The sequence below is a fragment of the Homo sapiens genome, chromosome 9 (assembly GCF_000001405.40).
Source record: "Homo sapiens chromosome 9, GRCh38.p14 Primary Assembly".
Taxonomy (NCBI): domain Eukaryota; kingdom Metazoa; phylum Chordata; class Mammalia; order Primates; family Hominidae; genus Homo; species Homo sapiens.
In genome coordinates, this window is record NC_000009.12 from 88,914,543 (window position 1) to 88,930,344 (window position 15,802).

A 15,802-nucleotide genomic window follows, 5' to 3' on the forward strand; every position below is an offset into this window, starting at 1 on the left:
CGCCAAGAGTGAACCCTAATGTCATCTATGGCCTTGGGTTAATAGTGATGTTTGCATGTTCATCACCTGTAACAAAAGGGCCACTCTGGAGTGGGATGTTGATAGTGGGGGAGGCTGTGCATATGGTTGAGGGGGTGGGGAGTATATGAGAACTCTTTGTGCCTTCCTCTCAATTTTGCTGTGAACCTAAAACTGCTCTAAAAAATAAAGCCTATTAATAAAAAGAAATAAAAAAAGATGTTTAGAAATAAAAAGTACCCCTATACCTGTTACCCCTGCTCTCTGGCTTCCTCTGATGGAAACAGAAAGCGGCTTGGTCTGGTGAGGGGTTTGAGCCTCTGTAGAAACTAGGAGCTGCAGCTGAGATATTTGCCTCCTCAACTTCTGCCCTCTGCGCACTGTGGAGTGAGTGAGGAGAGGGTGCTCCTTTTCCTGTGGGCATGCAGCTCTGTGAGGGTTCTCCGGCCTTTTTGTCTTTTTCTTCAGCAGGATTTCCACATCTGATGTTTATTTTACAACCGTGTCTTGTTTTTCAGGTTGCCATGAACAGAAGCAAAATAGTAGGTATAAAAAATGTCTTTAGATCTGCAGAAGAAAGCCACCCTATAAACCCAAGGCATTATTACCAGCAATAAAATGATTCAGGACATTCATCTCCTATTTGTCCACTTTCCAAAAAGAACCTTTTCTTTCTTTTGCTGACTTCTCTACATCTATTTCCTCCCACCTGCTCTAGAAAAGTAAATATCTGGTTTCAATTATTTATGGGACGTAGAGTTATTTTTGTTCCAATGGGGTCTCAGAGATTTCTCACATTTTAAACAATTTTGTAGCTTCCCAGGTAGAAATAAAGGAGGCCTGGGACCTATTGCCTCACTTTCTCATTTTCTCAAGATTCAAGGCACCACGTGGTACTCTGACTTCTGTAATTACTCTATTGGGCTCTCCATCCGATTGGAATGTTTTCCAAGGAAAGAGAACTAGATTTTTCTAATCTGATTTTAGCTATTTTAAAACAACTTTTAACCAGTCTGGCTATGGACTAATTCCTAGTATTTCAGGTTTATTATGGGAGATAAATCACTGTAGCCTTGGAAACTGGTCATGGAGTTGGGGGTCCGGGACTGACACTGTTTTTGGCTGCTACATGTGTGGGAGCTTAGAGATTCCACCTGGCAACCTGCCCAGGGGACGCATTCTGGGCTCACCCTGGTGTGGGCTCTGAATTCCACAGAGCTCAGGTCTCAGGCAAATGCCCCTGGACTCAGCACCCTTGGGCCCTGGCAAAGAACCTGGGCTCTTTTCACTGCAGAAGAGCAGCTGAACTAGCTTTTATCAGAGGAGGATATTTTTGATAGTGTTAAACAGTTTGCTATAGTATTTACTTCCAAGCTGAGACACCGACAGAGCTGGGAGGCATGAGATGTGTTTTCTGGGCAGACCGGTTTCCTCATTAAATTGGGGATAATCATACTTTCTTTTTGAACTTCACTGGTGAACCTGGCAAATGTTAGAGGTGGGTGGACTCTGAGGCCATCTGTGCAATATGATTTCTCTGCAAGGAGTAGGTCAGCTGGCAGATAATAAGGTAGCTTCTGTCACTCCAGATTGTTTTTTTCAGGTTAGGCTGTGTAAACAAATGTGAACCTGAGGAGTCCTTTGTGGTGGATCTGGAGTGGCTAATAGGCCTAGATTTAAAATAGTAGCCATTTCCTGATTAGAGGTACTCTGAATTTCCCCAAAACCCACACTGCAGTTCCCCTTTGGGACTTTCAGGACTCATCTGAACCAACCGATCAGAACTTACCTGCAATTCACCAATCAAACTCAGCTGCAATCCACCAATCAGAACTAAGCAAGTTTCAATCCTTCACTTGCATAAACAGATCCGACTGGGAACCTGGGTGGAACCCTTTTTTGCTATGAAACCCAAACCCTTCCCTTGTTCTCTGGAAGGCAGTTTTGCTTTACTCTGAAGGCCTGCATCTCCCCATTTTGCAGGGGATAATCTACTTCTTGCTCTTTTGCTTACCCAAGATAGCTTATACTTTGGTATATAAGATCTCTTCTGAGACACACAACAATCATTTAGGATTGATAATGTAGATATTGTAATTTCCAGAGTAGACGGGTGGGGAGGTGTCACCTTGCAGGTGGTAAAGTTCCTCCCAGGTGCACAGGCTGGTGGATAATGGAAGGAGGGAGGAGCTCTCCCTTTTCCTAAAGCTGTTTGGAAGAGGTTCTCCGCATTCTTCTGCAAGTAAAATTTAGTCTCAAGGCTATAGTGATCTCCATTTATCTAAAATAAAATGACATAATAGATTAATACATATTCCTTATAGAAAAGTAACAAAATGTAGATACAAAAACACATCATATCTCCACATAAGCTCTGCTGTGGGAGTGTGTATAATAGTGTACATGTTATTGCTTTTTTGCATATGTATAAGTGATTTTAATATAAAAAGCTGTAGCTTACCTTAGTGTTCAATAATTTCCACTCCCTGCCAGGGTGTCCAAGGGAGAGAACACAGTCATGGGTTCTTAGTTTCTGTTTCTGATTGGGCTGGTAAAGCCCCTTCCTCGTCCCTCTTTTCCACTTATCACTAGAGACAGAAACTAAAAACCATGGCTTCATACTGCTAAAAGCCTAAAACAAAACAGAACAGAACAACAACAAAATAAAGCAAGTTGGACAAGGTTGCCTTAAAGAAAGCCCTAAAATCATTGAGCATCTGGAGAAAAAGCCTTGGACATTCAAACTGACTCCACTGGTCAATTAAAGTTCAAAGTAATGCCAAATTTTAAACTCAATCTCGAGGTATTTCAACAAACAGAAACTTGGCACAGTGGAGACCCCAAGGGCACCCAAGTCTTTGCCCCAGGAGCCTAGAGCCTGATGTGGTGAGAAGGAGGCTGAGGGTGGAAGCATACAGGAGCTGGCACTTACTGTGTGTTTTCTTGTTCTTTCCCCTCTGTGTAGACACAGAACGCAGGGATCAAAGGTTGCCCAGGGAATGAGTGGCAGAGGCACACTTCCAGCCCAAGCCTGCTGCCACCAGGCCCATGACACAGCAAGGAACAGGGCTGTGGAGGCAGGGGAGGCCACAGAGCTTGGGGCCCACCACTCCAGAAGGTGAGCCGCAGGTGCTCCTACACAGACAAACCCAGAACCATCTTCCCATACGATCAATGCTGAAAAGAGGCAGTCAGCTTCCAGACCCACCCACAAACTTTTTTTCCCACCTCACATCAGATGTGGGAATGGTAGTACAGTTCTCCCAGTAACCATCTGTGTGGCCAGCCTAGGAAAGCAACCACAGGGACAATTATGTCTTCAATGAGATGGGACCCAAGCTCCAAACAACAAACTTGGAAACAAGCCTTTGAAACCCAGTACATTGGGAGGCAGAGGCTGGGACTGACACACACACAATACTAGATTGGTTATGGGTCACTCACCCCTCCCTCCTTCATGAACAACGCTCACCCTGCTCTGTGTTGACTCCAATGGGGTACAAAGATGGAAGTGAAGATATGAGTAGGAGTAGCCTCATGTCCCCAATGGCCACCCCTCTCAGGATCCGAGCCTTTGGGTGATCCCCTCTCTTTGAATCTGGGCTGGGCTTGGGACCTGTTTTCAATGGAAGGTGGCAGAAATAATGTAGTGCTACTTCCAGAATAAACCCTAGGAAGACCTGGCAGCCCAAGCCATGTGCTTTTGGGGGTCCCTGAACCATGCTGTATAAAGCACAGCTCCCTGGTGGAGACACCCTGCAGAGAGACAATGAAGAGAAGATTCATCTAGAGGAAGAAGCCAGGACTGCACAGAGAGAGGGAGACACCCACCCAAAAATCCAGTGGTGCAGTCAAATCTTAGAGCTCCAAAATAATTTCCTTTGACTCCATGTCTCACATCCAGGTCATGTTGATGCAAGAGGTGTGTTCCCATGGTCTTAGGAAGCTCTGCCCTGTGGCTTTGCAGGGTATATATCTCCCTCCTGGCTGCTTTCATGGGATGGTGTTGAGTGTTTGCAGCTTTTCCAGGTGCATGGTGCAAGCTGTTGGTGGAGCTACCATTCTGGGGACTGAAGGATAGTGGCCCTCGTCTCAAAGCTCCACTAGGCAGTGCCCCAGTAGGGACTCTGTGTGGGAGCTGTGACCCCACATTTCCTTTCTGTACTGCCCTAGCAGAGGTTCTCCATGAGGGCCCCACCCCTGCAGCAAACTTCTGCCAGGGCATCCAGGTGTTTCCATTCATCATCTGAAATCTGGGTGGAGGTTCCCAAACCTCAATTCTTGACTTCCATGCACTCACAGGCTCAATGCCATGTGGAAGCTGCCAAGGCTTGGGGCTTGCACCCTCTGAAGCAATGGCCTGAGTTATACCTTGGGCCCTTCTAGCCATGGCTGGAGTGAGTGAGATGCAGGGCACCTAGTCCCTAGGCTGCACAGAGCAAGGGCACCCTGGTCCCAGCCCATTAAACCACTTTTTCCTCCTAGTCCTCTAGGCCTGTGATAGGAGGGGCTGCTGTGAAGCCCTCTGACATGCCCTGGAAACATTTTCCCCATTGTCTTGGGGATTAATATTCAGCCTCTCATTATTTACCCAAATTTCTGCAGCCAGCTTAAATTTGTCCTCAGAAAATGGGATTTCCTTTTCTACACATTGTCAGGCTGCAATTTTTCCAAACTTTTATGCTCTGCTTCCCTTATAAAACTGAGTGCCTTTAACAGCACTCAAGTCACCTCTTGAGTGCTTTGTTGCTTAGAAATTTCTTCTGCCAGATTCCCTAAATCATCTTTCTCAAGTTCAAAGTTCCACAAATCTCTAGGGCAGGGGCAAAATACCTCCAGTCACTTTGCTAAAACATAACAAGAGTCATCTTTACTCCAGTTCCCAACAAGTTCCTTATCTCCATCTAAGACCACCTCAGCCTGGATTTCATTGTCCACATCATTATCAGCATTTTTGTCAAAACCATTCAACAAGTGTCTAGGAAGTTCCAAACTTTCCCACATTTTCCTGTCTTCTTCTGAGCCCTCCAAACTGTTCCAATCTCTGCCTGTTACCCAGTTACAAAGTTGCTTCCACATTTTTGGGTATCTTTTTAGCAGCACCCTGGTCTACTGGTACCAATTTACTGTATTAGTCCGTTTTCATGCTGCTGATAAAGACATACCTGAGACTGGGCAATTTACAAAAGAAAGAGGTTTAATGGACCCACAGTTCCTTGTGGCTGGGGAGGACTCACAATCATGGTGGATGGCAAGGAGGAGCAAGTCATGTCTTTCATGGATGGCAGCAAGCAAAGAGAGAGAGCTTGTGCAGAGATATCTCCCCTTATAAAACCATCAAATCTTGTGAAACTTATTCACTATCACAAGAACAACACAGGAAAAACTTACCCCCATGATTCAGTTACCTCTTACTGGGTCCCTCCCACAACATGTGGGAATTGTGGAAGCTAAAATTCTAGATGAGATTTGGGTGGGGACACAGCAAATCATATCAGTGTTGGTGGTGGCACCAAATCATTAAATCCAAGTGATGTTAATATCCCCATTATATAGAGGAAAAGACTGACACTCAGGAGCTTCATAGATGGCACCCACTGCCAAGTTCTGCAATACTTTATGAATGTGTTTGTACAGAGCAGGCCATCTCCAGAGTACATCTAGTCTTTCAGAAATGGTTGCTTGCATTATTTTTATTTCTAAGCCTTATTTCTTGCATTTTTTTCACCTCATGAACCATGCTCTCCTTGTTCTCATGCTACTAAGAAACCTGTGCAGTCCTGGGCATCCAAAGCTTAACAGATTTCCAGGATTCTGTTTGGATCTCTGGGAAATTCTGGGGCCATCCTGGAATAAAGCTGGTGTGTTTTGAAAAGTCCAGACATTTTCATCAGAGTTGTTCTACCAGTTATAAACCCCATGGCAGGTGTGATCATGTGTACCATTGATCAAGAAACCTGGGCTGGGAAGGGATAAGGGTCTGCCAAAGTCCTATGTGGAGGATGAAGGGCCAGCAAGTGACCTGACCTCACTTAAGGCTGTGACTCATGAATAGACCACCCTGACAGGAAGGCATTGCTGAGAAGAGGGCCACTCCTCTCCTAACTGACAAAGAGAAATCCCATGTTAGAACAGTCCAAAATGCTCCAGTACAGTTAAGAAATTGGTGAGGCTGAACTTGACACCCTTAGCTTCACCTCCTCATGCATTGCTGGAGGCCCCATATCCTGGTATTCCTGTTTCCAAAGACCCAGCCCTGCTTTCCAGCATCTCATTACCTCCACCTGGTGGGGCCTGTCAGTGTACCACAGGTCTACCTTGATTTCAAGTCCATCTCCTAATAATGAAGTAAAATGTTTTTCCCTGCATTGAAGAAATTTCCAGTGTCTTGGATGGGGGAGCTTAAGGAGCAGATGCTCATTCTTGGGGTATGGAGGTGATAACTTGTAGGCAGACTGTTCCTAGGAACACACGTAAGCTTGGCCCTTTCAGCCACTGGAAGGTAAGTCCAAAGATTCAAGAGGGAAAGGTGGCTGGTTGTGTCTGGCAGAAGGAGGGACACAGTGGAATAATTCTGCAAGTGTCACAGGGAGCCAGTCTCTGAGATGGCAGAGATAGGTTGGCCATCACTTTAGTGGGAAAAGGAGCATGTCTTTTCAAAGCTTCAAATGGGCCACATTTTTAAAAAGCATCAATTAACCTTCTACACACACACACACACACACACACACACACACACACATCTGAAAGGTGTAGAACTTTCATCAGCAGCAAAAGAGGAATGTTATTGGGAAGGTATACATTCCCAGCAAATTCTTAGCAGATGTGCTGGAGCCAACTTCCCAACTGTAGGGTCTACTCCACTGCAAAGTTTATTTGTATGAATCAGAAAATGATGATGCAGAGGAGGGTGATAATGTAAGGATCAAAATTTGATAATAGTTTTTAATAGGAAGAAAATAGCCTCAAGACTCTAGAGATTCTGTGGAATTCAGTTGCTTTATTAGAGCAAAGAGTTCTCCTTTGGGTGGCATAATAGGAGACTGGCTGCTTAGGAACTTAGTCCCTCACATGGTCTAAGGACAGTGCATGTGAAATACTCCAGCATCTTGTTAAAATGCAGAGTCTTATTCAGTGGGTCTGGGGTGGGACCTAAGATTCTGCATATCTAAAAGGCTCCCGGGCGATCCCTGTGCTGAAGGTCTGCAAACTGTGTTTTCAGCACCAAAGTTAACATTGAACCCCCAAAGTGACCACGGACTGATGGCCTCAGATCATCCAGGCCCACCGATGTACTAAGCACAATGGGCATTGTAACAGCATCTGCCACCTGTTTGAGGGGCCAGCTAGGGATTAGTGGGCATGGGGAGGGCCTAGGAGCCTAAACATTTACAAATATCCAGAAAATGATACACACACAAGTGAAAGGAAGAAGGGTGTGGATACAGGTTAGGACTTCAGCCTATGAATTCTGAAAGGACACAATTCAACCCATCAAACCCGAAAGATGGGGCTTGGGGACAGCCTGGAGCTATTGAATGATGCAAGCTATAAAAAATTCTAGAAAGGATCTGCCCTGTGTGTGCCTGGAGGCTCTGCGGGCACCATTTGCACAGTCAAACTCCTTCCCTCTCCGCTGCTGCAGCAAAACTAATGAACCACAAGAGCTGACTGGGTGGAAGCAGTAAACGACCTCCAGGCAAACACAGTGCCTGAGCCTTGATCTTTGAGGTTTAGCTGCAATGTTATAGGCCAGAAAGTTCACAAGCGAGAGCCCTGAAGATGCACAGCACGTGAGACCGCAATAACCACGGCCTTGTTTCCATCTGCAGAGACGTGAGGGTTCGTTGGCCCCACCCGCTTTGATGTTCTTTTCTTCTGTCTCACACCTGTTTGACCATCTCTTAAATAGGAACATTTTAAAACCAAATTAAAAATTCCATTTTCTGATACATTGTCTCATTTGAATCCAATTTACTAAACATATAATATGCTTTTTCCAATCTTATACTAAAATAATAAAGTGGGGCTCTATGAGAATGCATATCTTTCGTCAACTCAAAGGAAGAACTGAAAACTAACATTTTATTTCAAGGAAACATGCTTAAATGGCTCATTTGATTACTTTTATGTACACATGATACCTCAAAGTCAGATGCCTCAAATCTCAGTGTTCAGATAATCTCCTAAATGAAGATGTATAAAAAGAGCTACTTTTTCTATTTTTAGCTGTGCCTAAAGGATTTTCTTGTCTCTCAGATATTCTCATTTGCTTTGGTTATTCCCCTTTTCTTCTTCTTTCTCCTGTGTGGTTTTGCTTTATGTTTTTAACTTTCTCTGATTTTCAGATTTTTTTTTATTTTCTAGGTTTCTTACCTTTGCCTTTTCTGTCTATTCTTATTTTCACTTTCTTCCAACAAAACACCCACTAAAATTCAGAGCAGGATGGGTCTTTTCTCTTTCTCTCTCTCTCTCTTTTTTTTCAGTCTTTTAGTGTGCTCTCCCTCGTTGGATTATAAATGCTTATATACCTGTCTACATGTGGTCCATGCAGTGACAGAATTTTAGGAAATTAGGAAGTGTGGGATCTCTGGTCTGAAGGTGGTTTTAAGACATAGTCGTACACATGGCATCACCCACTGCTGACCACAGTTGCTAATCTTGGGGACCACAGCAGCCTGAGTTCTGAACCCTTGCCTTTTCTGCACTGTAGCTTTCAGGCTCATTGGTGCCACCCCAGCTTCATAGCACACAGGATGAGAGAGAACACTTCACCTGCAAGACTCTGGTTGATGAAGCCATTTTTCCTCCAGGTGTTCCCAGGCATGTGTTTAAGTGTGTTCCTCATCTGCTCACACAGAGCTCGAAGCAGGCATGCTCCTCTCCTCTTCTCCTTCAGATACTTCACCACTTTCTGCTTTTCTCTCCTCAGCTGTCTGCAGAGAACAGACTTCTTCACCCTCAGGAACCTCACTGCAGCCCTACATCTCTGCGGCTGGACGTCCCCATTGATCACAGACCAAGGCCAGGATGTGCTCCATATGTCTTTCCCTTTCTGCTGTTTTCTAGGCCCGAGGAGTTGACCGTGTGAGTCCTGGCTTGTCAATGGTGCAGCGGGGGCTGCAGCGACTCTGGCTCTGTGGCTTCACTGTGCCTGTGGGTGGCCGACGAAGCCATCATCTTGAGTGCATGGTGCCACCAATGCGTGTGGCAATCAGACAGGAAATGACATGGCTATATTGAAGGCCAGCCTCCGGCACTGTGGCTTCACTGTGCCTGCGGGTGGCCGATGAGGCCATCGTCTGAGTGCACAGTGTCACCAGTGGATGTGGCAATCAGACAGGAAATGACATGGCTATACCAAGGGCCAGCCGTGTCTATGCTGCCTTCAGACAGTTGGGTCAACCCTTGCCAGGGTCCAGACTCAGTCTCTGAAAAGGTCCCCCTTCCTCAATGCTCCTAAGACTGAAGCACCTACCTGGAGCTCACTGGGCCACTCACATGGGTTTCCGTGGCTATGCTACACGGGAAGCCAAGTCATAGTCAGAAGCCACTTGACTGATTGTGAAAAAAATGGCTTTCAACAAGACCAGGAATAAGCACAGCACATGTTCTCTGTTTAGACAGCCAAGAGTGGTTAATCTACTTGCCCAGGACGGGCCAGCTGGAGCTGCAGAGGAATGAACCCAGAGCCTGTGCTCCAGGCAGGCACACACACGGCCTCTGGGGTGGGGGTCGGGGGGACTTGGGGCTGGGAGCCACACACGCAACCTCTGGGGGGTCACACACATGACCTCCGAGGAGCTTCCCATGCTAGTCTTGCACAAATCCCTAAGAGTTATTTCCAGGGTATCATATGCTGATACCCTGGAAACACATGTTAAAAGCTGATGATGGTTACTTAGCGGGGTGTCTGGGCCTTTTTTGGTCAGAAACAAGAACTAGAAAGGATGAATCTGAAATTCAGAGAAAGTACTGTAGGACAGTGGTCCCCAACTTTTTTGGCAGCAGGGACCGGTTTCATGGAAGACAATTTTTCCACAGCCGGTGGGAGTAGTGGGGATGATTTTAGGATGGAACTGTTCCACCTTGGATCATCAGGCAATAGTTAGATTCTCATAAGGAGCACACAACCTAGATCCCTCGCATGCACAGTTCACAATAGGGTTCATGCTCCTATGAAAATCTTTTGCTGCTGCTGATCTGACAGGAGGCAAAGCTCAGGTGGTAATGCTTGCTTGCCCAATGCTCACCTCTTGCTGTGTGACCTGCTTCCTAACAGGCCCCAGACAATCCTGGTCTGTAGCTGGGGGTTGGGGACTCCTGCTGTAGAAGAATGAGCAGTTGCAACCAGCTCCACAGCTGAGTAGCTGCCATCACCAGCCTGGAGGGTCAGGCTGCCTCACAGGCCCTTCACTCCATTATTGGGCAAATGGAAAGGACTCATTCGGGCTGTCTCCTGGGGGAAAGGTCATAACGTGTGGCGCAGGAGCTTGTGTCTCTGATAGGCTGCACACTCCTTCCATGACTGATGGTCAGCGTGGGGAATGCTCCACAGGTTTTTTGAGTATGAGAGCCCACAAGTATTTTAGTTTATGAAGAATGTTCATACATGTCATTTCATTCATGGGTGAACTCAAACTCGAAGGACACAGAGGCAGTAAACGCCAGGTGGACTCCACATCAGGGGCCGACCAGGGTCCCAAGCCCAGTGATCTCATAAACCCCCAAAAGCGGGCCTCCGCCCCTGGGCTCTGGTAGATGGCACTGGTAGCATACTCTCCACCCCTTCCTGGCCAGTGGCACCCACTGCCTGCCTTCATGCAGGAGAGAGAGCCTCATTCAGGTCTTCAACAAGCCAGCTTTTATTTTTATTTCAGATTTAAGCCAATTCTTGTCAAGATCAATAGCATCTTGGTCAATAGAATTATTTGAAACCCTTAAGATACATAACTTTAAGTAGCCTTTGGAATAATGCACTTTAGAAATATTTTCAAAGGCATTTGACTGGAACAGCAAGGGGGTTACTCTCACTGGAGAATCCTTTCAGGGAGATGATTCGGCAGTTCAGAGTCATTTGGGCAAGCGATTCATTCTCAGCAGACCACAAATATCCCCCAGCCCTTCCTCCATCTGTGTCCCAAAACTAACAAGCCTGTTCTTCTCTTGGGAAACATTAATCTGACTAATGGCCTCAATCCCCATCTCATACCCTTCCTGGGAAGACTGGATCATCATTAACAAACCCCAAATCTTCCAGAACCTCCCTATGACTGACCAACACTCATGTCCCGACGTATGGACTACTTCCTCACGTGCCCCCCAACTCTGTTTCTCTTGCTCCCAATAGATCAGCTCTCCCCTTGGCTGGAGGCAAGTGGACTGTGCAGGGGACACTCCCTGGCAGCACCAACCCGCCTGCTGCCCAGATGCCCCTCACACCCTGCAGGGCCACGCTGCCAAAGGCCATGGCTTCCTGGTGACAGCAGTACTCCTGGAAACATTGTAAATCAACCCCACAGCCTTTCCCAGCATCTTTCCTGGGCAGAGGAGGAAAGAGCCCTGCTGTGAACAGTGTGGTCATGGGCCAGGTGTCCAGGAACAAGAGAAGTCACCCGCATGCTTGCATTCCACAGAGGGCAGTTTCACTGGCCCTGGGTCTGCTATCTGTCACACAGGTGGCACTGGATTTCAGAGTTTCTGAGGGGCGTTTTCTTTTGTTCTTACCCCTACCAAACACTATCTATGCAGGTCAAATCCATAGCATCTGTGGGCCCCTCATTTGAGGACTGCCTAAGCTCATTCTCAAAAAAAAAAATAAATAAATAAAATGAAAACCATCAAGCAGGCAGAGACGATGAAAACCATTGCTTCAGAGTGTGTCTGCCTCAGTCCTGTCTCCTGGGGGACAGGGGTGTGTAGAGAGTATGGCCACTGAGCCTGGACAGGAGCTGTGGGGTGGGTCTGCAAGCTGCGTGTCAGCAGTTGAGGTGAGGAATGGTACAGAATGAAGACTGTCTGTGAGTCCCCTGAAACTCACACCATCATTTCAGGTCTTCATACACACGAAATAATCCATGAGATAACTTTTCCAAATTAACTGCAAGAAGTCTTTAAGAGGTTGTGGGGGAACTTTTTACAGGAGCATACGATGGGAAATGTTTTGAGGGAGTCTTATTTCCCCCAAGACTATTAGAATTTTAAACACACAGGTCTCTCAGCAGGCTACCTCTGCTCTAAAATGCTGAAAATTCTATAAATTCTCAATGAGCTGTTATAAAGAGATTGTGCCATACCTGTTTAAAACTAGTGTACCTTATTCTGAAGGGCTTAAAATGTTGAGAGGGAGAGCTTAATGAGGAAAGAGAGAGGAACAAGAGAGAAAAAGAGAAATTGGCTCCTTTAAGAAGTTTCTGGCAGAAAATCAGCTTTAAAAATAAGTTGCTCAACTCAAGAAAAAAAATTCTCTGCAGAATGAACAACTGTAAGGGGAGAGAGAGAGATGGGGGCTAGGCAGAATTCCGGATGGCTCCTGGGGTCTCCCACTGGTGTGTTCCCCCATGTGATTGCCTCCCCTTGAGTGTGGGAAGGACCTGTGACCCTCCCAATGGGATCTGGCAAGGTGATGGGCTGTCCCTTGCGAGATGAAGTTGCTGTATGTGTATATACCGTACAAGGTTTTGTCTTGCTGCGTACACAGGGAGACACTGTCGTGGCCCTTGAGGAAGCAAATGCCATCTTGTAACCAAGGACAGGGCCATGTGGGGTGGCTGGGAAATGCAGAAGGCCTTGGGCTTCAATCCTGCTATCACAAAGAGCCACATTCTGCCAGCAGCCAGAGAGCTTGGAAGGGAACCCCAAGTTTCAGATAAGGACATGGCCTGATTGGACCCCAACCTTGCAAGTTCCTTGGCAGAGGACTCAGGTGAGCCATGCCCAGACTTCTGACTCCTGGATACCATGAGATAATAGATGGGTAGTTGTGTGAGTGGGTGTGTTTAAAAAATAGCTGTATTTTACACACATACGATTCACCCATTAAAAGTATACAATCCAACATACTATAGTGTAATATATTCACAGAGTTATGAAATCGTCAACACTATCTAATTTTAGAACACTTTCACTTCTCTTAAAAGAACCCCAGTCCTCATTAGCTGACTCCATATTTCGCTTTCTTTCCTGCCCAGCCCTAAGTAACCACAAACCTAGTTTCTGTCACCATAGACTTGTCTATTTTGGACATTTTATATTAATGGAATCATATAATATGAGGTCTTTAGTGACTACATACTTTCACTTACCATATTGTTTTCAAGGTTCATCCATGTTGTAGCATGTATTATGGCTTCATTCCTTTTTTATGGATGAATAATATTACATACATAAAATGTGTATAGTATAATACATTTTATTTATTAATGTATAAGTTGGTGAACATTTGTCTATCTCCTTTGGAGAAATATTTGTTCAAATCATTTGCTCATTTTTAAATTGGGTCATTTATCTTTTTAATATTGAGTTGTAAGAACTCTTTATATATTCTAAAAACAAGTTCCTTGTTAGATACATGATTTGCAAATGCTTTCACCCATTCTTTTCACTTTCTTGATGCATCTTTGGCAGCACAAAGTTTTTAGTTTTGATAAAGTCTTATTTATCTGTTTTTTTTTCTTTTGTAACCTATGTTTTTGGTGTCATTGTTAACTATTATTAACAGTTAACTATTGTTAATAGTTGAGAAACTATTGCCTCACCCAACGTCATGAAGATTTACTGCTATACTTTCTTGTAATAGTTTTATAGACTTAGCACTTACATTTAGATAGATGATCCATTTTCAGTTTGCTTTTGTGTATTGTGTGAGGTAGGAGACCAACTTCATTTTTTTTTGCAGTTGATATTCATTTTTCCTAGTACCATTTTCTGAAAAGACAGTGTTTTCTCCCATTGAATTGTCTTTGTACCCTTGTAAAAATAAGTTGACTGTAAATGTAAAGATTTATTTTTAACTCTCAATTCTATTCCATTGATACATATGTTTATCCTTACACCTGTGCCACACAGTCTTGATTACTACAGCTTTGTAGTAAGTTTTGAAATTAGAGTGTAAGTTCTTCAACTTAGTTTTTTACTATCAAGATTGTTTAGGCTATTCTGAGTTCCTTGCATTTCTGCACAAATTATAAGATCAGCTTGTCAATTTCTGCCAAAAAAGCCAACTGAGATTTTGATATAGATTGCATTGAATTTGTAGATGATTTGGGGGAGCATGACAATCTTGCCAATATTAACTCTCATAAACCATGAACATGGAGTAGCTTCCTATATATTTAGATCTACTGTAATTACTTTCAACAATATTTTATAGTTTCAGTATAAAAGTTTTGCACTTTTTTATTGAATTTATTCCTATGTCTCTTATTCTTTTGATGCTATTGAAAATTGTTTCCTTTAATTTCTTTTTCAAAATATTCATTGCTAATGTATAGAGACATGATGGACTTTGTACATTGATCTTGTGTTCTGAGACCTTGCTGAACTTATTAGTTCTCATGATGGATTTTTATAGTGGATTCCTTAGGACATTTTTGTATGCAATGTCATGCCATCCGCGAATTGTAGTTTTGCCCCTTCTCCAAACTGGCTGCTTTTCTTTCTATTTTCTTCATAATTGCCTTAGCTAGAACTTCCAGTACAAGGTTGAATAAAAGTGATAATAGCATTTTTGTCTTGTTCCTGATGTTAGGGGAGAATCATTCAGTGTTCACTATTAAGTATAATGTTAGCTGTGGCTTTTTCATTGATGGCCTTTATCAGGTTGGGGAAGTTCCCTTCTTTTTCTTGTTTGTTGAGTGGTTTTATTATGAAAAGGTTTTGGATTTTGTCCAGTGATTTTTTCTTGCATCTATTGATGTGGTCACTTTTTTTTATTCCATTAATATATTGCATTACACAAATTGCTTTTGAATGGTTAAACTAACTTTGGATTCTTGGAATAAATCCCACGTGGTCATGGAATAATACCATTTATATGTTGCCCAATTAAGTTTGCTTGTGTTTTGTTAAGAAGTTCTACATCTGTGTTCATAACGGATACTGCTCGGCAGAATTTTTTCTTTGTGTGTCTTTTTATGGTTTTAGTATTTGGATAATGCTGGCCTTTAATTGGCTGTTTAATATGTCTGTCATTTTACTTTTGTTTTCTGGTGTCCTGCTTTTTTTTTCTTTGCTTTCTTTGCATATAGTGAACATTTCGTAGTGTAACGTTTTAATTTCTTTGATTATTTTTAACTGTTTTTAAAAGTTATTTTATTAGTTGTTGTTCTAGAGCTTACAATATACATACCAATGTATTATAATTATTTCAGATTAATTCTAAAGTATTGCTAAACATAATTAAAGTGGGATTTGTATATTGCCTCTTCCCTTTTCTGTACAATTATTGTTATACATATCATGTCTATAGATGTTACAAACCCAGTAATATATTGCTATAATTTTTACTTTATATAATTTTGTATCTTTTAAAGAAGTTTGGAGAAAAAAGATTAGTAAGTATAGTATTTTTTAGAGTTTATTCAACCACCTCATTTTTGTTGTCATTGTCAAATATATTTTATTTCATGTGTTATAGGCCCCAAAATACAGATAGATAGATGAATAATTTTATATAATTGTTTCTCAAATCAGTCAGGAGAAAGAAGGAGAAGAAATATCACATTTTACTATCTTTTAAATTACTCGTATAGTTACTTCTACTGGCACACTGTTTTTTCATGTG

General features: G+C 43.5%; 1 long non-coding RNA gene across 1 annotated transcript in view; it reads left to right on the forward strand.

The window, feature by feature from the left end:
* The window catches only part of LOC124902205 (uncharacterized), a 75,065-nt gene extending 61,423 nt beyond the window's left edge, over nt 1–13,642 (forward strand). The window contains exon 4 of the long non-coding RNA XR_007061654.1: nt 8,951–13,642. This is a non-coding gene — a long non-coding RNA (uncharacterized LOC124902205). The remainder of the gene's footprint in view (nt 1–8,950) is intronic.
* Nucleotides 13,643–15,802: the final 2,160 nt, after the last annotated feature.